At 45.6% G+C, this 23190-nt stretch overlaps 1 protein-coding gene, 1 non-coding gene and 1 pseudogene across 2 annotated transcripts in view; 2 read left to right on the forward strand and 1 right to left on the reverse strand.

The window, feature by feature from the left end:
- ZNF157 (zinc finger protein 157) overlaps nt 1–23190 on the forward strand; it is a 43921-nt gene that overhangs the window by 11155 nt on the left and 9576 nt on the right. The window lies entirely within an intron of this gene.
- Nucleotides 6918–7044, forward strand: SNORA11C (small nucleolar RNA, H/ACA box 11C). The gene has a single exon (NR_003710.1). It is a non-coding gene; the product is annotated as a small nucleolar RNA, H/ACA box 11C (small nucleolar RNA).
- On the reverse strand, nt 8229–9604 carry LOC100419232 (UBX domain protein 4 pseudogene; annotated as a pseudogene).

Raw genomic sequence — 23190 nt, forward strand, 5'->3', positions numbered from 1 at the left:
GGTTGATGCAGGACCCACAGCTCATAGTGACCAATCACAGATGGCTGTACTTGAGCCAGACACACAAAAACACAAGAAGTTATTCATGAGGGAAGACCTAGCATGCCAGACTTGCTCAAAGCCACTGTAAAGTGTGTTTACCCTGTCAGCGGAAAGAGTCAAATTCTGTAAAATATTTGAAGAGACTTATTCCAAACCAGCACTCAGGAGATACTGAGAACAGGTGCCCAAGGTATGTGTTAGATGTCCACTGATTCGGTTCGGAAAGGCGGGACAACTTGAAGTGGGGGCTTCCAGGTAACAGGTAGATAAGAGACAAAAGGTTGCATTCTCTTGGGTCTTTGATCAGCTTTTCACTGAATACATAATTTACATGTGAGAGGGGATAGAATAGTCTGCCTAATGAAACAACAGGGCAGAGGAAGCAATCAGATACCCATTTGTCTCAGGTGAGCAGAGGGAGGACATTGAGTTCTGTCTGTCCTTTGTCATCCTGCACCTGTGAAGATAAGCTATCAATTTACGTTGCCAGGGTGAAATTCAACAGAACTTTTTTTTTTTTTTTTTTTTTTTTTGAGACGCAGTCTCGCTCTGTTGCCCAGGCTGGAGTGCAGTGGCGTGATCTCAGCTCACTGCAACCTCTGCCTCCCGGGTTCAAGCGATTCTCCTGCCTCAGCCTGCGAGTAGCTGGGATTACAGGCTTGTCTCGGACTCCTGACCTCGTGATCCGCCCACCTCGGCCTCCCAAAGTGCTGGGATTACAGGCATGAGCCACCGCACCCAGCCCAGAACATCTTAAGGTAAAGGTCTTGAGGCCCACAAGGTCTTTTCTTGTGGGCAAATTGCGAGGGAGGCATGTAGCCTTTTTTTTTTTTTTAATCTTTGTAGCTATCTTATTTGGGAATAAAATGTGAAGCAGGTTTGCCTAACACCCTTTGGCTTAATGATTTTGGAGTCCTGAGATTTATTTTCCTTCACAACCCTAAGTATAGGACTGTGTAACATATGCCAAGAGGAGCACCCCTGATGAAGCAGCTGATAGGCTTCATATGCAGGCCATGTGGGACTGGCTTTATGGTGCCTATGATATTCACCCACTGAATATGCCCATTACCCAGGCCATATTCAGCTATGGTTAAGGGGTCTTTTTGCATAGGCACCCCATGTAAACTTACAGCTGCAAAATACAGCAATAGACCCAAAAGCCTCATTGAATTTGCTGCCTCAGCTTCCCTTCAGGGATCCCACAGCTGCTAATGAAAACATTAAGTTAACGTGAAAATGGGGAGAAGCCTAGGGAAGGGTCAAGTCTACCAGCAAAGTGGAAATCTCTCAGTGGCTATTAAGAAATGGGATGGCCGGGCGCAGTGGCTTATGCCTGTAATCCCAGCACTTTGGGAGGCCGAGGTGGGCGGATCACAAGGTCAGGAGTTTGAGACCAGCCTGGCCAATATGGTGAAACCCCATCTCTACTAAAAAATACAAAAAAATTAGCCAGGCGTGGTGGCGGGCACCTGTAGTCCCAGCTGCTTGGGAGGCTGAGGCAGGAGAATTGCTTGAACCCGGGAGTCACAGGTTGCAGTGAGCTGAGATCGCACCACTGCACTCCAGCCTGGGTGACAGAGAGGGACTCAGTCTCAAAAAAAAAAAAAAAAAAAAAAAAAAAGAAATGGGATGGCTGGGCTTTGTTTGGTGGCTCACACCTGTAATTCCAGCACTTTGGGAGGCTGAGACAGGTGGATCGTTTGAGCCCAGGAATTCAAAACCAGCCTGGGCAACATAGCGAAATCCCATCTCTACAAAAAAAAAATAATAAATAAAAAAAATTAGCTGAGCATGGTGGTGCACGCCTGTAATTCCAGCTGCTTGTGAAGCTGAGGTGGGAGGATCACTTGAGCTGGGGAGGTCAAGCCTGCAGTAAGCCATGATCGCACCACTGCACTCTGTCTCAGAAAAAAAAAAAAAAAAAAAAAAAGACCAAGGGCAAAGGTTCTTTGGCTCCACCCCGGGATGGGGACCCAAAGCTTTGTGCACATGAAATGGGTGGTGAAGAGAAGTTTCTGGGTAAAATGGGAGGAAAAGAGAACTTTCTGGGACCCCTTTATATGGAAGCCTCATACACGGAGGTACCAAAATCCATTAGTGAAGCTGTAACATGGGCTACAACTAGACTGGGAGAATATAGAAATGTAACAGTTGATAGGATTAAGGTGTACATTTGGGTGAAAATTGGAATGTGTTTAAACAGGCTTTGTGGCTGGGTGCGGTTGCTCACCCCTGTAATCCCACCACTTTGGGAGGCCGAGGCGGGTGGATCACTTGAGGTCAGGAGTTTGAGACCAGCCTGGCTAACATGGTGAAACCCTGTCTCTACTGAAAATTAAAAAAAAAAAAAATTAGCTGGGTGTGGTGACATGTGCCTGTACTCCCAGCTTCTCAGGAGGCTGCAGTGAGCCGAGATCGCGCCACTGCACTCCAGTCTAGGTGACAGAGCGAGACAAAGTCTCAAATAAATAAATAAGTTTTTTTTAAAAAATAAAAATAAACAGGTTTTAGCTGAATGTTTTATGGGAATGGATATTATGACTGACAGGGAACACTTCCCTTAACTAGTATTGTGACACTCAAACCTGTTGATGAAATCCCAATGGAGGAATGTAAGGGTTGATGGGATTAAGGTGGAAGTTTGGAAAATTTGTAGATTTGAACAGGCTTTATTTGAAATGGTTGCATCTCTTTTACCTCAATGTATTATGGAGATTGAAATTGTATCTGACTGTGGAATGTTTCCCCTCTCTAGTATTGTAAATTCACCCTTCAACCAGTATTACTTGAACATGCTAAACGGGAACCAGTAAGATTGCCGAAGCCCACGAAGTATACAATAGAACCTGGGGTGCCGCACAGACAGATTACCTGTACAATAGCCCTTTGTGGAGCAGAGACCGGCGCTTATGGCAAAAGCCTAAGAGCGCCTCCTAGTGGTAACCTGGGACTTTGGACTAGAGAATTTCCAGTTGAGCTTGGATTAGACATTAATTGAAAGTGCCCTTATGATTGAAGGACATAAAATAATTTTGAAACCTAAAATATCCATGATGTCTTGGGTGATGGTGTAACGCTCCAATAGGGAGTGCAGTGCCCAGAGTAGTTCCATAATTACATGGAAATGGTTCGTACAAGAATATGCTGCCAGGGGAGTGCGGAATTAGCGGTTTTCACAACCAGGTAGACTCCTTTCCGCCGGGACTGATGGAGGAGGAGCTGGTCGGTTCTGTCATCGACTGGACAATGCTCCAGCTCTCAACTGACCAACAAAAAGATGCTTGGTTTGTGGATGGCAGTTCCAAGGCGAATGGACTGCATCGTGTTTGGATGTCCCAATGGCGTCCATTATAGCAAAAGGATCCAATTTAGGATTATGTTTAGCATTTACGTGTCATCACTTTAGTGTTATTCAGTTGAGAAGGTTCCTTCTTTGCCTCTCATAACTCTTTGAAGATTTAATTAAATAATAGTATTTAAGTATTTACAAATTTATATTCTTCTCATCATATAAATTGGAATAATGATTACTGAAGCAGATCTGAATAGTCATACAAGTAAGTATATAGAATATATATTAGTTACCCCAGAGCATGAAGAGAGAAATTCCCATGAGCTAAATATTCACATGATGGATTTTACGGTGTTACTCTAAGTCCAGTCCACCTAGCATTTCCAGTTGAGCACACCCTTCCTAGGTGAAATGATAGAAAGAATAACAAACTCTTGAGTGCTAGCTCTGTATCAGTGCTGCCCTAAGCGATTCCGTGTGTGTGTGTGTGTGTGTGTGTGTGTGTGTGTGTGTTTGAGACAGAGTCTTGCTCATGTTGCCTAGGCTGGACTGCAGTGGCACGATCTTGGCTCACTGCAACCTCTGCCTCCCGGGTTCAAGCCGTTCTCCTGCTTCAGCCTCCTGAGTAGCTGGGATTACAGGTGCGTGCCACTACGCCCAGCTAATTTTTGTATTTTTGGTAGAGACAGGATTTCACCATGTTGGCCAGGCTGGTCTCAAACTCCTGACCTCAGGTGATCCACCTGCCTCGGCCTCCCAAAGTGCTGGGATTACAGGTGTGAGCCACTGCACCCGGCCATGATTCCACGTATGAATTCACCCAAATTTCACAGATGACAAGACTGAGGCTCAGAGGAAGGTAGTAACTTAGCCAGAGTAATAGCACGAGTGTGAGTCAGAGCCAAGATTTGAACCCAGGCAGCGTGGCTCCCACCACCATGTTCTTGCTTGTTCTCTTCTGTGTCCAGGAGATTCCTTCCTACCTGACCTTGTTCTCGACGCTCTCTGGTTACTTCTGCATAGCCACAGTCTAAAGCAGTTATACAACCATCCTAGGTGAGCTATGCATTTTTAAAAATTAAACTTTGATTTTGAGATCAGTATCGATTCCCATGCAATTATAGGAATAATACAGAGAGATCGTATGTGCGCTTTATCCAGTTTCTTCCAATGGTAACACCTTCCAGAACAATAGCACAATATCACAACCAGGATGTGGCCATTGACACAACCCCAGGATGTCTCCTGCTGCCCTTTCACAACCACACCTGCTACCCTTGTTCCTGCCATCTATCCCCTCGAGGTTCCTAACCCCGACACTAATCTGTTCTCTATCTCTAGAATGTTGTCATTTCACGAGTGTTATATAAATGAAAGTATACAGTATGTGACTTTTTTTGTTTTTTTTTGAGATGGAGTCTTGCTCTGTCGTCAGGTTGGAGTGCAGTGGTGCGATCTCGGCTTGCTGCAACCTTTGCCTCCCAGGTTCAAGCAATTCTCCTGCCTCAGCCTCCCAAGTAGCTGGGACCAGAGGCGTGCACCATCACACCCGGCTAATTTTTGTATTTTTAGTAGAGATGGAGTTTCACCATGTTGGCCGGGCTGGTCTTGAACTCTGGACCTCAAGTGATCTGCCCATTTCAGCCTCCCAAAGTGCTGGGATTATAGGCATGAGCCACGCCACCCGGCTCCCAATTTGCCCTTTATTTATTTGTTATTTATTTGCTTGTTGCCTTTGTTTCCTGTGTATTTTAGGATGCTTCTAAGTATAAATAAATACGTATTAGAATAAAAGGAAGAAAAAAAAGAAGAAAATATCAATACAAGTTTTAGAAAGTAGGCATGCCTGTCAGCAATCCTACTGAGCCTACTGAACAAGAAAACTTTGCAGTCTTTTTTTTGTTTTTGTTTTTTTTGAGATGGAGTCTCACTCTGTTGCCCAGGCTGGAGTGCAGTGGTGTGATCTTGGCTCACTGAAACCTCTCTTCAAGCGATTTCGTCCATCAGCGTCCCAAGTAGCTGGGACTACAGGCGTGCACCACCATGCCCTGCTAATTTTTTTTTTTTTTTGAGTCAGAGTTTCGCTCTTGTTGCCCAGGCTGGAGTGCAGTGGCACGATCTCAGCTCACTGCAACCTCCGCCTCCCGGATTCAAGTGATTCTCCTGCCTCAGCCTCCCGAGTAGCCTGGGATTACAGGCATGCACCACCATGCCCGGCTAGTTTTGTATTTTTAGTAGAGACGGGGTTTCTCCATGTTGGTCAGGCTAGTCTCGAACTCCCGACCTCAGGTGATCCACCTGCCTCAGCCTCCCAAAGTGTTGGGATTACAGGCATGAGCCACCATGCCCAGCCTGATTTTTGTAGTTTTAGTAGATGGGGTTTCACCATGTTGGTCAGGGTGGTCTTGAACTCCTGAGCTCAAGTGATCCGCCCATCCCAGCCTCCCAAAGTGCTGGGATTACAGGCATAAGCCACCATGCCTGGTCCTGAAGTCTTGCTTAATCTGTATATTCTAGGAAGACACAGCAGAGCAGGAGCTGCAATCAAGAATTACAATGCCTCAGTCGGGCGCGGTGGCTCACACTTGTAATCCCAGCACTTTGGGAGGCTGAGGTGTTCTCAGGAGTTCGAGACCAGCCTGGCCAATGTAGTGAAACCCCCATCTCTACTAAAAATACAAAAACTAGCCAGGCATGGTGGCACATACCTGTAATCCCAGCTACTTGGAAGGCTGAGGCAGGAGAATCACCTGAACACAGGAGGCTGAGATTGTGCCACTGCACTCCAGCCTGGGTGACAGAGCAAGACTCTGTCTCAAAAAAAAAAAAAAAAAAAAAAAGAATTACAATGCTTCTACGGAGAAATCAATAATTCATTTATAGTGGAGAGTTCCTGATATTTAAATTTTTTTATTACTTTATTATTATTTTCTTAGAGAATTACAATGCTTCTACAGAGAAATCAGTAATTCCTTTATAGTGGAGAGTTCCTGATACTTAAATTTTTTTATTACTTTATTATTATTATTTTCTTAGAGACAGGGTCTTGCTTCATCTCCCAGGCTGGAGTGCAGTGGCACAATCATAGCTCATTGCAGCCTCGAACTACTGCACTCAAGTGATCCTCCCACCTAAGCCTCCTGAGTAGCAGTGACTACAGGTGCTTGTCATCACGCCCAGCTAATTTTTTTGATTTTTAGTAGAGATGAGGTCTATGTTGCCCTGGCTGGTCCTGAACTCCTGAGCTCAAGTCATCCTCCCGCCTCAGCCTCCCAAAGTGCTGGGATTCCAGGCCTGAGCCACTGTGCCTGGCTATGTGTTTTTTTGTTTTTTTTTTTTGAGTCAGAGTCTTCCACCTGAGTCTCCCGAATAGCTGGGACCACAGGCGCACACCAACATGCCTGGCTAATTTTTTAATTTTTATTTTTGTAGAGACAGAGTCTCATTATGTTGTCCAGGCTAGTCTCGAACTCCTGGCCTCAAGCACTCCTCCTGCCTCAGCCTCCTGAGTTGGTGGGATTACAGGTGTGAGCCACTGCATGCAGCAGTTCCTAATACTTGAGTGTCAAGAAATCCTCTGGGGTGTGCTCAGAGCAGGGGGCCTGAAGAATGCTTCTTCTGTTTACAACACACCCAATAGGAATCTGGGGTCATTGTGACGGGGGGCACAAAACTTGTGACCTCTCTATGAACAAATGCCCCACATGTGAAAAAAAGAAATCTTTTGTTAAATCTTCATACGGATGATGGAAACAATATTTTCTTTTCTTTTTTTTGAGATGGAGTCTCCCTCTTTTGTCCAGCCTGGAGTGCAGTGGTGCGATCTCAGCTCACTGAAACCTCTACCTCCCAGGTTCAAGCAATTCTCTTGCCTCAGCCTCTCGAGTAGCACCACCACGCCTGGCTAATTTTTGTATTTTTAGTAGAGACAGGGTTTTACCATGTTGGCTGGGCTGGTCTCGAACTCCTGACCTCAAGTGATCCATCCGCCCTTGGCCTCCCAAAGTGCTGGGAGTACAGGTGTGAACCACCACACCCGGCCGGAAACAATATTTTCAATTACAACCTTGTCATAAGTGATATTACAGGTCTTCTGTGGCTATTTGTCATTTGAAAAGATTTTTTCATTAATTTTTTTTCTTTTTTCTTTTTTTTGAGACAGAGTCTTGCTCTGTCGCCCAGGCTGGAGTGCAATGGCAGATCTCAGTTCACTGTGACCTCTGACTCCTGGGTTCTAGCGATTCTCCTGCCTCAGCCTTCCAAGTAGCTGGGAGCCATTAATTTTTTTTTTTTTTTCCAAGACAGAGTCTTGCTCTGCTGGTCAGGCTCAAGTGCAGTGGCCTGATCACAGCTCACTGCAGCCTCAATCTCCCAAGCTCAAGCAGATCTTCCCACCTCAGCCTCTCGACTAGCTGAGACTACAGGCGCACGTCGCCATGCCTGGCTAATTTTTTAATTTCTTGTAGATAGGAGGTCTCCCTATGTTCCCCAGTCTCTCTCCTTGGTCTCATTCAGTTTTTAAGTAAGATTTTAAAAACTACAGGATGAAGGGCGGGCACAGTGGCTCATGCCTGTAATCCCAGCACTTTGGGAGGCCGAGGTGGGTGGATCACTTGAGGTCAGGAGTTTGAGACCAGCCTGGCCAACTTGGCAAAACCCCGTCTCTACTAAAAATACAAAAATTATCTGGGTGTAGTGGCACATGCCTGTAGTACCAGCTACTTGGGAGGTTGAGGTGAGAGTATTGCTTGAGTCCAGAAGGTTGGGGCTGCAGTGACCCAAGATCATGCCACTGCATTCCAGCCTGGGCAACAGAGCGAGACCCTGTCTCAAAGAAAAATAAAAGGAAGCAGTGGTTATTGCATATTGTACTGTACTTGTCTCGCTACCACTGAGTAGAATTTGCATTCCACGTATTTTCATCTTTACCATCCTCTTGAATCTTCAGTCTATCTTCCCTTCCTGTTTGATGTCTTCATGCTTTTCCAGCACTCTTTTTCTGGCTGGTTCTATTTTTTTCTGAGTTGGTAGATGGTGCACAATTTGAGTTTTCTGATGATTTTATTCTCAAAGAAGCCTGTGTGGGAGGAGCATTACTAAATAAGGAAGTGCTAGTCAATATCCAGATGACTAGAAATGGATAAAGTATTGTTCCCAACAGGGATCCAGTGTCCCCACGGGATGAGCATACCTTGGATATAGTCAGTCTTCCTATCTGTGCCTCAAACTGCTGTGCTGCTTCTTAAGGAGCTTCCAAAGGGAAGCTGATTTGTGAAGGGAGAACCATCAAAAAGACAGAATTGAATGACTGCAGTAGTGCTTCTTTGTCTTGTATAAGATTTCCTCTTGGGCTGGGCACAGTGGCTCATGCCTGCACAAAATGCCCAGCACTTTGGGAGGCCGAGGCGGGCGGATCACCTGAGGTCGGGAGTTCGAGACCAGCCTCACCAACATGGAGAAACCCCGTCTCTACTAAAAATACAAAATTAGCTGGGTGTGGTGGTGCATGCCTGTAATCCCAGCTACTCGGGAGGCTGAGGCAGGAGAATCACTTGAATCTGGGAGGTGGAGGTTGCAGTGAGCCCAGATTGCGCCATTGCACGCCAGCCTGGGCAACAAGAGCAAAACTCCGTCTCAAAAGAAAAAACGTTTTCCTCTTGAATTCCATTTCTGCCTGTTTTTAGCAGAGCAGCAGCTTTGGCAGCTTCTCTCTCTGTCTCTCTGTCTCTGTCTCTCTCTCTCTCTCATCTGGTCTTTGTGAAATGAGCAGCACTCTGCGTGATTCCATGCAGTTGTCTGTTTCATATGTCTTTCAGCTGCCCTATATTCTGCCTTTCCTGTTTCTTTGTTCTTACATTCTTTTTGTCAATTGTTCTTGTTTCTTTTGATATACAGCATTTCTCTTTCAGTTTTCCTTCTCAATTTCCCTCTTGATCTCTTTGTTCTTCCACTTACCTTTTCAAGTATTTTGGTTAGTCTTAGTCTGTTCACTCTGACAGTGAGGTTCTTGGTAGGTTTTTGATTTGACCTTCCTCTAAGCTCCCTTTGAGGCAATGACATGCCCTGATCTGTTTCCTCTTGTTTAATATATATGACTTTGTGTCAGGAGAGGTAGGTGGTGTATCACAAAACTCAACATTTCTGCACTGAAAGTTTTCCAAAGTGTTACAAGTGTTACTGGGTTCAAATGAGGGATGAAACAGTGACTAAACTTTCTGACTGGCTCCCATTTGCAACTCATGTTTCAGTTTTTAGTTACTGCATCTTTTGGTTTACTCTCTTATCTGAAATACTTGGCACCAGAAGTGTTTTGGATTTTTTTTCTTATTTTGGAACGTTTGAGTTATATTCACTGATTCGGGATCCCTAATCTGAAAATCTGAATCCAAAATGCTTTAATGAGCATTTCCTTTGAGCATGATGTTGGTGCTTGAAAGGTTTTGTATTTTGGAGCATTTCAGATTTTGGATTTTTTTTCCCCTCTCCTCTTCTGGAAAAAGACAGAGTCTTGTTCTGTCTTGCCCAGGCTGGAGTGCAGTGGCACGATCTCGGCTCACTGCAACCTCCGCCTCCTGGGTTCAAGCAATTCTCCTGTCTCAGTCTCCTGAGTAGCTGGCACTACAGGCATGTGCCACCACACCCGGCTAATTTTGTATTTTTAGTAGAGACTGGGTTTCACCGTGTTGGCCAGGCTGGTCTTGAACTCCTGACCTCAGGTGATCCACTCGCCTTGGCCTCCCAAAGTGCTGGGATTACAGGCATGAGCCACTGCGCCTGGCCAAGATTTTGGATTTTTGGACTGTGGATACTGAACCTGTATTGATTTTTTTTTTTTTTTGAGAGGGAGTCTCGCTCTGTCGCCCAGGCTGGAATGCAGTGGTGCAATCTCAGCTCACCGCAAGCTCCACTTCCCAGGTTCACGCCATTCTCCTGCCTCAGCCTCCTAAGTAGCTGGGACTACAGGCACCCGCCACCATGCCCGGCTAATTTTTTGTATTTTTAGTAGAGACAGGGTTTCACCGTGTTAGCCAGGATGGTCTCGATCTCCTGAGTTCGTGATCCACCTGCCTGGGCCTCCCAAAGTGCTGGGATTACAGGCGTGAGCCACCGTGCCCGGCCCTGAACCTGCATTGCTGTTAATAGCAACAGAACTGTTTGAGGATGCTTCTGTCACTTTGTCATCTTCCTAACCTGCAGCCATCTGTGTAGGCTGTTTATCATCAGCTGCCATGACACTATGACAACTGTGATGTTACTCTTGGCCACTGTGATGGCAACCTGAATGGTTTCCTGGAAGTATAGCATCATTCCCCTCTCCTCTTCTGGAAAAAGACACTTGTCATTGAATTTAGGGGCTACCCAGTTAATCCAGAATGATCTCAACTCAGATCCTTAACTACATCTGCAGAGATCCTTTTTCCAAATAACACCCAGGTAACATTCACCGTGCCTGGGTGTTAGGATGTGGATACATCTTTTGGGGGAGTGCACCATTCAACCCACTATAGTTTGTTCTCTAGCCTCCAAATTTATGTCCATCCCACATGCAAAATACATTCATCCCATTCCAACATACCCAAAAGTCTTAATGCATTACGGCATCAGTTTCTGCCTGTGGATCTGTGAAACTGGAAAACAAGTTATCTGTTTCCAAAACTACAATGGTGGGACAGGCATAGGACAGATATTCCCATTCCAAAAGGCAGAAATTGGAAGTCATAAAGGGTTCACTGGTCCCAATCAAGTTTGAAACCCAGTAGGGAAAATATCGTTAGATTAAGGCCTGAAAAATATCCCCTGTTGAGGCCGGGCATGGTGGCTCATGCCTGTAATTCTGGCACTTTGGGAGGCCGAGGCAGGTGGATCTCTGAGGTCAGGAGTTCGAGACCAGCCTGGCCAACATGGTGAAACCCCGTCTCTATTAAAAATACAAAAATTAGCCAGGCATGGTGGCGCACGCCTGTAATCCCAGCTTCTCAGGAGGCTGAGGCAGGAGAATCTCTTGAACCTGGGAGGCGGAAGTTGCAGTGAGCCGAGATCCTGCCACTGCACTGCAGCCTGGGGGATAGAGTGAGACTGTCTCAAAAAAAAAAAAAAATCTCCTGTTGCTCTGCTCTCTTGGCCTCTGCCTCGCCCATGCCTCTGCACCTGCGGTTCTGCCCTTGGAGTCATTCTTCCTTTGTGTTGCAGGTAGCACATGCTTATAACCAGATAGTTCGATCAGCCCATTTCCTGCCTATAAAGTTTTGGAAGTCTGACAGCCTTCTGTCATTTTGTCTTTTCTCTGTTTCTTTCTGTTTAAGCTGGCAGTGTTTGTACTGGTATAACATTCCCAAAAGCCTTGTCACTCTCCTGTATGTGTTCGTATTAGAGAAGAAGGCCGTCCACAGAGCTTTCTTGGATAATCCCATCTCTATTCCTGATTCTGCTGAAATGGGTCATCGGATCCTTGAGTATCACAAAGAGCATGCTTTCCCAACAGTGAATTTTCTTTCTTTTTTTTCTTTTTGAGACAAGGTCTCACTCTGTCATCCAGGCTGCTGTGCAGTGGCATGATCACCGTTCACTGCAGCCTTAACCTCCTGGGCTCCAACCCAGCTGTCCTCCTGTCTCAGCCTCCCAAATAGCTGGGACTACCGGATTGAGCTACCATCCCCGCCACCCTCCCCCGCCCTTTTTTTTTTTTTTAGACAAAGTCTTGCTCTGTCGCCCAGGCTGGAGTGATTAAACCATTAAACCACTGACCACTGGTGATCAAGTCAACCTTCAGCCACTCTCCCCTCCCAGGAGGTTGAGTATGGGGCTCAAAGTTCCAACCCCAATCAGGCACTTAACTAATTCTGTTTATTTTTTGTAGAGACGGGGTCTCACTTTGTTGCCCAGGCTGGTCTCGAACTCTTTTTTTTTTTTTGAGATGGGGTCTTGCACTGTTGCCCAGGCTGAAGGGCAGTGGCACGATCTCAGCTCACTGCAAGCTCTGCCTCCCAGGTTCACACCATTCTCCGCCTCAGCCTCCCGAGTAGCTGGGACTACAGGCACCCGCCACCACGCCCGGCTAATTTTTTTGTATTTTTAGTAGAGACAGGGTTTCACTGTGTTAGCCAGGATGGTCTCGATCTCATGACCTCGTGATCTGCCCACCTCGGCCTCCCAAAGTGCTGGGATTACAGGCGTGAGCCACCGCGCCTGGCCCCTCGAACTCTTGAGCTCAAGTGATCCTCCCACCTTGGCCTCCTACAGTGCTGGGATTATAGGCATGAGCCACTGCACCTGGCCAACAGTGAATTTTCTAATTTTAGCATCTTTTACAATCTGGATAGGCTGAGAATCTCCCAAATCATCAAGTACTGGTTCCTTTTGGCTTAACAGTTTCTTACTCAATGTATCTCTTATGTCTCACATTTTCCTGAAAGCTGTAAGAAAAAACCAGGCCGCCCCTTCAAATACGTTGCTCGAAAATCTCTCAGCTAAATAAATACCGAAGTATTTGTGTGGAAAGTACCTCTGGGTATTTCCAGAATAAAATTCTGTTAAGTTTTCTGCCATTATATAACAAGGATGGTTTTTCATCTAGTTTCCAATATCATGTTCCTCATTTCCTTCTGAGTCAAAACTAGAAGCACCTTTAACATTCATATTTCCAACATTTTGTGCGGGATGATGTTTGTATTCTGTAAGATGATAGAAGCTTTCTTAGTTGTGTTACTTCCTCCTTCTGAGCCCTCCTCAGCAGTGTTTTTTTTGTTTTGTTTTGTTCTTTTTTTTGGCAAGATCTCATTCTATTGCTCAGGCTGGATGGAGTACAGTGGTGTGATCTCAGCTCACTGCAGCCTTGACTTCCCAGGCTCAAGTGATCCTCCCACCTCAGCCTCCCACGTAGCTGGGTCTACAGGAGCACACCACCATGTCCAGCTAATTTTTTGTATTTTTGTTGGTAGAGATGGGGTCTCACCATGTTGCCCAGGCTGGTCTTGAACTCCTGGGCTCAACCTATCCGTCCACCTTGGCCTCCCAAAGTGCTGGGGTTACAGGTGTGGAGGCATCACCATGTTGCCCAGGCATTGCTCACACTCCTTGGCTCAGGAGATCCTCCTGCCTCAGCCTCTCAAAGTGTTGGGAATATAGGCACGAGCCACTGCTCCTGGCTAGATTTTTTTATTCAAGAAATGGGCGTCTTGCTATGTTGCCCAGGCTGGTTTTGAACTCCTGAGCTCAAGCTATCCTTCTGCCTTGGCGTCTTGAATAGCTGGGGCTACAGGTGTATGTCACCATGCCTGGCTTAATTGTAGATGTTAATCACATCTACAAAATACCTTCACAGCAACACCTAGATTAGTGTTTGATTGAATAACTGGGGCATATATCCAGTCCAACTGACACATCAAATTGATTATTGCAATCCACCCCTCATTATCTTGGCACCTTTACATATCTCTTTAAATCATACTTAATCTCTAAATAAAGATAACAAGCTCATACTTCTGCGTAACATGATGCAATTCTCAAGTATACAACTAAAAACACCTTCTTTTCCTCAGAAGAGGAGACAAAGTCAGTGGGTGATGCTCACACTTTCCCCTGATGTCCTGTAACTTAAATAAATAAATATTGTGGTCCAGGAGTGGTGGCTCACGCCTGTAATCCCAGCACTTTGGGAGGCCGAGGTGGGAGGGTCACTTGAGGTCAGGAGTTTGAGACTAGCCTGGGCAACATGGTGAAAACCCATCTCTACAAAAAATGCAAAAATTAGCCAGGTGTGGTGGCGTGTGCCTGTGGTCCCAGCTACTCAGGAGGCTGAGGTGGGAGGACTGCCTGAGCCTTTGGAGGTCGAGGCTGCAGTGAGCTGTGATTGAGCCACTGCACTCCAGCCTGGGTGAGAGAGCGAGACCTTGTCTCAAAAAATGAATATTGTACTATAATGTTAAGTATTAATAGTTTTCATGTTAGATGATAAGAGGATAAGAGAGGGAACAAAACAAATACTTGTGATGTATATGCATATATATTTATATATCCACACACGTATGCCTAATAAAATAAGGAAGAAATACTCATAAAAATTACAGTCCTGTAGCCAGGGGCAGTGGTGCACGCCTGTAGTCCCAGCTACTTGGGCGACTGAGGGAAGAGGATCCAGTCCAGCCTGGGTAACGAAGCAAGACCTTACCTCTAAAAAAAATGATATATTGGCCGGGTGCAGTAGCTCATGCCTGTAATCCCAGCATTTTGGGAGGCCAAGGTGGGCAGATCATCTGAGGTCAGGAGTTCCAGAGCAATCTGACCAACATGGTGAAACCTTGTCTCTACTGAAAAGAAAAAATTAGCTGCACGTGGTGGTGCATCCCTGTAATCCCAGCTACTCAGGAGGCTGAGACAGGAGAACCGCTTGAACCCAGGAGGCGGAGGTTGCAGTGAGCCGAGATCGCGCCATTGCACTCCAACCTGGGCAACAAGAGCGAAACTCCGTCTCAAAAAAAAAAAGTTATATATTTATATATAGTCGTAATTTATGCAGCTGGTCACATGGTCATAGCTGGTATTTATAACTGCCTTCTTCTACCCATTCCAGATCCCTTTGCCCTCAGCAGACACCTGAGCTGCTTCTTTACCCGATGGGGTGACCCAAACCTTTATTATTGCAGAGTCTGGGTGTATTAGTCTGTTCTCATGCTGCTAATAAAGACATACCCAAGACTTGGTAATTTGTAAAGGAAAGAGGTTTAGTTGGCTCATGGTTCCACATGGCTGAGGAGGCCTCACAATCATGGCGGAAGGCAAAAGAGGAGCAAAGTCACATCTTACATGGTGGCAGGCAAGAGAGCATGTGCAGGGGAACTCCCCTTTATAAAATCATCCATTCTTGTGAGACTTATTCACTATCATGAGAACAGCACAGGAAAGACCTGCCTCCATGATTCAATTACCTCCCACTGGGTCCCTCCCACAACACATGGGAATTGTGGGAGCAACAATTCAAGATGAGATTTGGGTGGGGACACAGCCAAACCCTATCAGCAAGCTACTGTTAGTCCTGCCTGAATTGGGTTGTTGTAGTTTTCAATTGACTTTAATCACAGGGCATTGTAGTGTGCTTTAAGGGGTCTTCTGTGTTCCAGGCCTACTCTTCTTTATCTTCATTGTTTAATAGCAACCCAGTTTCTTTTTTTCTTTCTTTTTTTTTTTTTTTTTTTGAGATGGAGTCTCACTCTGTTGCCCAGGCTGGAGTGCAGTGATGTGATCTTAGCTAACCACAACCTCCGCCTCCCAGGTTCAAGTGATTCTCCTGCCTCAGCCTCCCAAGTAGCTGGGATTACAGGCATGCAACACCATGCCTGCCTAATTTTTTTATTTTTTTATTTTTTTTGAGATGGAGTCTTGTTGTCACCCAGGCTGGGAGTGCAGTAGCACAATCTCGGCTCACTGCAACCTCCGCCTCCTGGGTTCAAGCGATTCTCCTGCCTCAGCCTTCCAAGTAGCTGGGACTACAGGTGCCTGCCACCATGCCCAGCTAATTTTTGTATTTTTAGTAGAGACAGAGTTTCACCATGTTGGCCAGGGTAGCCTAGAACTCCTGACCTCAAATGATCTGCCCGCCTTGGCCTCCCAAATTGCTGGGATTACAGGCGTGAGCCACCGTGCCCTGCTGCAAGCCAATTTCATCTTGGTAGTTAGGATCAGATGCTCCAGCCAATACAGCAACTCCCTTCTTTTCCTGTTGCTTCAGAGGCATGAGAAGCCTTAAGTGGCCGTGTGGCAGTCTTAGCTTCCAGTTCAATGAAATCACTGTTGTATCTCTTGGTGGAAGCTTTCCTCCTTTTGGAACAGAGACCCCTACACCAGTGGAGCATAATATCATGAAGGTAGGAAATAAAAATTTTGCTAGTAGGTTACTAGGGGTAATAGTGAGTAGTGCCATTTGCATTTCTGTTTGTTTTTGTGTTTTTTTTTGAGACGGAGTCTTGCTCTGTTGCCCAGGCTGGAGTGCACTGGCATGATCTCAGCTCACTGCAACCTCCTCCACCTGGGTTCAAGTGACTCTCCTGCCTCAGCCTCCTGAGTAGCTGGGAGCCATTTGCATTTTTACCTCCTTGATTCCTGGACCTGTGAATCCTGGCTATGGGAGAAATCACACCATATATTAAATGCGGATTCAGAGAATATTCAGACTCCTGCAGGACATTGCCCCAGCCCAGCAAGGTATTGCCACCTAGCTGGCACTGTAACTGAGTCTTCAAAAAGCATGGTGAGGAACATGGTGAGACTTGTGAATTCCATGAGCATGGTCCCATTGCCCCACTCCTTTTGCTGTGAAATAAGTTCCTTGGTCAGAAGCAATGCTTTGTGGAATACCATGATGGTGGATTTCCTTTGTTGCATAACCCATGTATTCATTCCTTTACTTTCAGCTATTATTTCTTTTTTTATTTCTTTTTCTTTTTCTTTTTTTTTGAGAGAGAGTCTTGCTTTGTCTCTCAGGCTGGAGGCTGGAGTATAGTGGCACAATCTCGTCTCAATACAACCTCCACCTCCTGGGTTCAAGCGATTCTCCTGCCTTTGCCTCCCGAGTAGCTGGGATTACAGGCTCATGCCACCACACCCAGCTAATTTGTGTGTGTGTGTGTGTTTTTTTAGATGAAGTCTCACTCTTGTCACTCAGGCTGGAATGCAATGGTGCGATCTTGGTTCACTGCAACCCCTGCCTCCCAGGCCCAAGCGATTCTTCTGCCTCAGCCTCCCGAGTAGCTGGGATTACAGGCGCCTGCCACCATGCCCAGTATTTTTAGTAGAGACAGGGTTTCACCATGTTGGCCAGGCTGGTCTCGAACTCCTGACCTCAGGCAATCTGCCCGCCTCAGCCTCTCAAAGTGCTGGGATTACAGGAGTGAGCCACTGCACCTGGCCTGTATTTTTTAGTAGAGACGGGGTTTCGCCATGTTGGCCAGGCTGGTCTCGAACTCATGAGCTCAGGTAATCCGCCCGCCTTGGCCTCCCAAAGTGCTGGGATTACAGGTGTGAGCCACCGTGTCCAGCCTATTCTTTCTATTTCTCTCTATTTGTCACTGATTTCTACCCACACACTGTTCTGGTCCAGGTTGCTGGCAACAATATTGGTCTAGCAAATGCCTCCCCATTGGTCTTTTCCCATTCATATAGCATATGGTTATATTGGTACCAAACTCATGGGGTATCTCAACCACTAGACAGTGCATCTGGATTCACTGTCAACCGCAATTTTGTCAGATGGGGTGAAGGCACAATCTATCTCATTAGGCCCATAGGAATTTTGGCATATATATATTTTTAAAGTATAGTTACAGATTCTTGCTAAGGATCATCTCTGCTTCCAGCACCCACAGTTGTAGCCCTGGTCCTGGAACCATTGCAACAAGGAGTAAGAAAGAAAGTTTAGGTAATATAGGGGAGAATTGTATAGTCATATTAGCATCCTCCCCCATCACCTTTACACCTCATCTCTCAGAAAAGTGGAGGAATCTCGGAATCTATCTAGCAAGAATGTTCCATTGATTCTGCTCATGTTGACTGTGAGCACAAACTTGGGAAGGTGTGTAAGCCAGCTCTTTAAGCCCATGTCTCCTCTCTCTTTCTCTCTCTCTCTGTCTCTTTTTTGAGACAGGGTTTGGGTCTGTTGCCCAGGCTGCAGTGCAGTGGTGTAACCTTGGCTCACTGCAACCTCAGCCTCCAGGGCTGAAGCAATCCTCCCACTTCAGCCTCCTGAGCAGCTAGGTTTACAGGCATACACCATCATGCCTAGTTAATTTTTGGAATTTTTGGTAGAGATGTGGTCTCCCTATGTTGCCCAGGCTGGCCTCAGATTCTTGAGCTCAAGTGATCCTCCTGCCTCAGCCTCCCAAAGTGTTGGTATTACAGGCATGAGCCACATTGCCCAGTTTCTGTTCTCTCTCTCTTTTTTTTTTTTTTTTTTTGAGACAGAGTCTTGCTCTGTCACCCAGGCTGGAGTGCAGTGGCGCAATTTCGGCTCACCACAACCTCTGCCTCCCGGATTTCAGTGATTCTCGTGCCTCAGCCTCCCAAGTAGCTGGGACTACAGGCACGCACCACCACACCCAGCTAATTTTTATATTTTTAGTAGAGACGGTGTTTCATCATGTTGGTCAGGCTGGTCTTGAACTCCTGACCTCAGGTGATCTGCCTGCCTGCCTTGGCCTCCCAAAGTGCTGGGATTACAGGCGTGAGCCACTGTGCCCAGCCTTTCCTGTCTCTCTCTATCTCTCTTATTATTATTATTATTTTAGAGACAGGGTCTAGCTATGTTGCCAAGGCTCGTCTCAAACTCTTGGGCTCAAGGGATCCTCCCAAGTCGGCTTCCCAAAGTGCTGGGATTATAGGCATGAGCTACTGGACCCAGCGTTTGACAGATGTTTTAATTGTCCATTCCAATTCTGTGCAAAACTACAACTCTGAGGATGATATGCAACATAATATGTCCATTTGGTGTTTTATCTTTTTGCCCATTGTTGGATACTATGCTGTAAGGTGTGTTCCTTGATCTGAAGAGATGTAACATGGCAGTCTAAATTGGTGTAGTATCTTCTGTTTCTTTTCTTTTCTCTTCTTTCTTTTTCAAGACAGAGCCTTGCTCTGTAACCAAGGTGGAGAGCAGTGGTGCTATCAGGGCTCACTGCAGCCTCGACCTCCTAGGCTCAGGCGATCCTCCCGCCTCAGCCACCTGAGTAGCTGGAACTACAGGCATGTGCCACCGTGCCTGGCTAATTTTTTATATTTTTTGTAGAGATGGGTTCTCCCTGTGTTCTCCAGGCTGGTCTTGAACTCCTGGCCTAAAGCAGTCCTCCCATCTCGGCCTCCCAAAGTACTGGGACTATAGGCATGAGACCCTGTGCTCAGTCATGAGAGCTGTTCATAGGGTGCCATCCATGTGGCAGTAGGAGCTGTCAGTTCCTCTGGTGGTTTCAAAGTTGGTCTTAGAGGAAATGCTGAATACGATGAGTACTGCCTTGCAATCCTCCAGTAGCATGTCCTCGTATAAACTGTTTGCATTATATTATGGAACTCTTCTGGGCATTGCCTTCCTTATTAGAATGTTTCTCTGACATCACCTAGGACATTATGGGTATTTCAGGTTTCAAGATTATTTTATCTTTCATTCACAAAAAAATCACCATACCACCACATCTGGAAATTCTCTGATCCAAAACCTCAGCCATTGCTGTTGGGTAGCACTCACAGGCTTTTGCCACAATCTCCAGTCTCTATAAATACAAGTTGCAGACATTTTCAAAATCATGTCTGCCTGTGGATCTTATATAAGGGCTCAAAAGCATCAAGAGAGTGTCTGCTCTTTGCAATTCAGACATAGCCTGCGTAAATATGGCCTTCTTTTGTGCTGTTTAATGGAGGGAAGCTAGCAATATTCTCAGATGTGGAACATGCATCCTGCAAATGACAAGTAACCTGATTAGGTACTGTGTTTCTCACGTAGTACCAGGGGTAGTAGGCAGTGACAGCAGTTCATTTTTTTCTTGCTTGGGGAATGTTAGGGGTGGATCCTGCCCAGGTTATTCCTAAGAATTTCACCATTTGAGTGGGCCTTTGGATTTTTGTCGCATTTATCAACCACCTCTGTTGGTCATGTATGTCACTATTCTATTTAAGTCAGTCCTAGCTTGCTCTTCAGTTTTTTGTTTTTTGAGACAAGGTCTCACTATGTTGCCCAGGCCAGAGTGCAGTGGCACAATCACAGTTCACTGCGGCCTCCACCTCTCTGCCCCAAGCAAACCTCCCACCTCAGCCTCCCAGGTAGCTAGGACCACAGGTGTGTGCCATCACACCCACTAATTTTTTATATTTGGAGAGACAGGGTCTCACTATGTTGCCCAGGCTGGTCTTGAACTCCTGGGCTCAAGCAGTCCTCCCGCTTCGGCCTCTCAAAGTGCTGGGATTACAGGCAAGAGCCACCATGCCTGACCGAGAACGGTAGCTTTATAGTAAGTGTTGAAATTAGGTATATAAATCCTCTAGCTTTTTTCTTCCTTTTCAAAATTGCTTTGGCTGTTCGAGGCCCTTTTAATTTCCATATGAATTTTAGAAGCAGCTTGTCAATTTCTAATTATTAATTTTGTTTTATTGATTGTGATCAATGTTGTTTGTAACATATGTATCTTAAGGAACCTACCGAAGTTGTTTTCTTTGTGCCCTAGTATTTGACCAAATTTTGTGAATATTTTATGTGCACGTGAGAAAAAGTATATTCTGTATGATCAGGGATCCAAAAGATCAACCTTACTGATTATGTGGTTTAGGTCTTTTATATTATTACTTATATTTTGTCTATTTAATCTGTCTCATTCTGTGAATGGTATGTTAAAAGTCTCCCATTAGAGAATATTTCTATTTCTTCTTTCATTCTTGTAGTTTTCGGCTTATATAGGCTGTTGATGTTACTTTATTGTTTGCATTTGATAAATTTTTTAATTTTTTTTTTTTTTTGGAGTCAGAGTCTTGCTCTGTCGCCCAGGCCGGAGTGCAGTGGTATGATCTCAGCTCACTGCAAGCTCCGCCTCCCGGGTTCACGCCATTCTCTTGCCTCAGCCTCCCGAGTAGCTGGGTCTACAGGCGCCCGCCACCACGCCCGGCTAATTTTTGTTTGTAGTTTTAGTAGACATGGGGTTTCACCGTGTTACCCAGGATGGTCTCCATCTCCTGACCTTGTGATCCGCCTGTCTCGGCCTCCCAAAGTGCTGGGATTACAGGCGTGAGCCACCGTGCCCGGCCTAAAGATTTTGTATGGATTTAGAGGATACAAGTACAGCTTTGTTACATGCGTATATTGCAGAGTGGTGAAGTCTGGGCTTTTAGTGTCACCATCACCTGAATAGGGTACATTAAATCAGATGATTAAATAAGCTCCAGACTGGGCACAGTGGCTCATGCCTGTAATCCTAGCACTTTGGGAGGCCGAGGCAGGTGGATCACCTGAAATCAGGAGTTCGAGACCAGCCTGGCCAACATGGTGAAACCCTGTCTCTACTGAAAATACACACACACACACACACACAAATTAGCTGGGTGTGGTGGCAGACACCTGTAATCCCAGCTACTAGAGAGGCTGAGGCAGGAGAATCACTTGAACCCAGGAAACAGAGATTGCAGTGAGCCGAGATCACGCTACTGCACTCCAGCCTGGGCAACAAGAGTGAAACTCTGTCTCGAAAAACAAACAAAAAAATAAGCTCCAGAGTCTTGTACTATAATACCCCAGTATCTAGTTATTATTATTTTTTGAGATGGGGTCTCACTCTTGTCACCCAGGTTAGAGTGCAGTGGCAGGATCTCGGCTCACTGGAACCTCGACTGCCTGGGCTCAGGTGATTCTCCCACGTCAGCCTCATAAGTAGCTGAGACTACAAGTGTGCACCACCACACCTGGCTAATTTATTGTATTTTTAGTAGAGACTGGGTTTTGCTCTGTTGCTTAGGCTTGTCTCGAACTCCTGGGCTCAATTGATCTGCCTGCCTCAGCCTCCCAAAGTGCTGGGATACAGGCATGAGCTACCTCACCTGACCAAGATATTGTTTACTCATTATACAAAAATCCAAAAGTTATATCAAGAACCAGGAACATTTCAATTTGAATGAGAAAAAAATCAATGGGTGCCAGCACTGAGATGATACAGAGTTTAGAATTACTTGACAAGGATTTTAAAGCAGCCATCATAAAAATACTTCAACAATTATGAACACACTCAAAACAAACTTTTTAAGAAAGTTTTCATAAAAAAATAGAAATCCCCAGCAAAGAAATAAAAGACATAAAAAGTTGCCGGGCACAGAGGCTCACGCCTGTAATCCCAGCAGTTTGGGAGGCCGAGGCGGGCAGATCACTTGAGGTCAGGAGTTGGAGACCAGCATGGCCAACATGGTGAAACCCTGTCTCTACTAAAAATACAAAAATTAGCTGGGTGTGGTGGTAAGCGCCTGTAATCCCAGCTACTTGGGAGTCTGAGGCATGAGAATTGCTTGAACCTGGGAGGTGGAGGTTGCAGTGAGCTGAGATGGAGCCACTGCACTGCAGCCTGTGCGGCAGAGCCAGACTGTTTGTTTGTTTGTTTGTTTTGAGATAGAGTCTCACTCTGTTGCCCAGGCTGGAGTGCAGTGGCTTGATATCGGCTCACTGCAACCTCCATCTCTCAGGTTCAATCGATTCTGCCCCCTCGGCCTCCCTGTAGCTGGGATTACAGGCGCGCACCACCATGCCCTGCTAATTTTTGTATTTTTAGTAAAGATGGGATTTCACCATGTTGGCCAGGCTGGTCTCAGACCCCTGACCTCAGGTGATCTGCTTGCCTCGGCCTCCCAAAATGCTGGGATTACAGGCTTGAGCCACCGCACCTGGCAGACAGAGGGAGAATCTGTCTGAAACAAACAAACAGCCATAAAAAGTAACCAAATGGAAATTTTAGAAATTAAAAATACAATAATCAAAATGGAAACTCAGAAATGGACTCGACAGCAGAATGCAGATGAAAAAGGAATCAATGAACTTAAGCATAGAAAAAAGCCTGCATTATCTATATATAAATGAGTGACTGAATATGATGTTGTGAACCATAATGCCAGTCTAGATATCTAGACTTGGGTTTCAGGTATGGCTTTCTCTAATTCCTAACCAAGTGCCCTGGATATTATTCTTATTCTCTATTGTCTTGACTTTGTTTATTTATTATTTATTTTTTTAAATTTTTTTTTGACTTTTATTTTAGGTTTCGGGTACTGTATTAGTCTGTTCTCACACTCCTATAAAGAACGACCTGGGTAGTTTATAAAGAATAGAGGTTTAATTGACTTATGGTTCC

This window comes from Homo sapiens, chromosome X, assembly GCF_000001405.40.
Source record: "Homo sapiens chromosome X, GRCh38.p14 Primary Assembly".
NCBI lineage: Eukaryota > Metazoa > Chordata > Mammalia > Primates > Hominidae > Homo > Homo sapiens.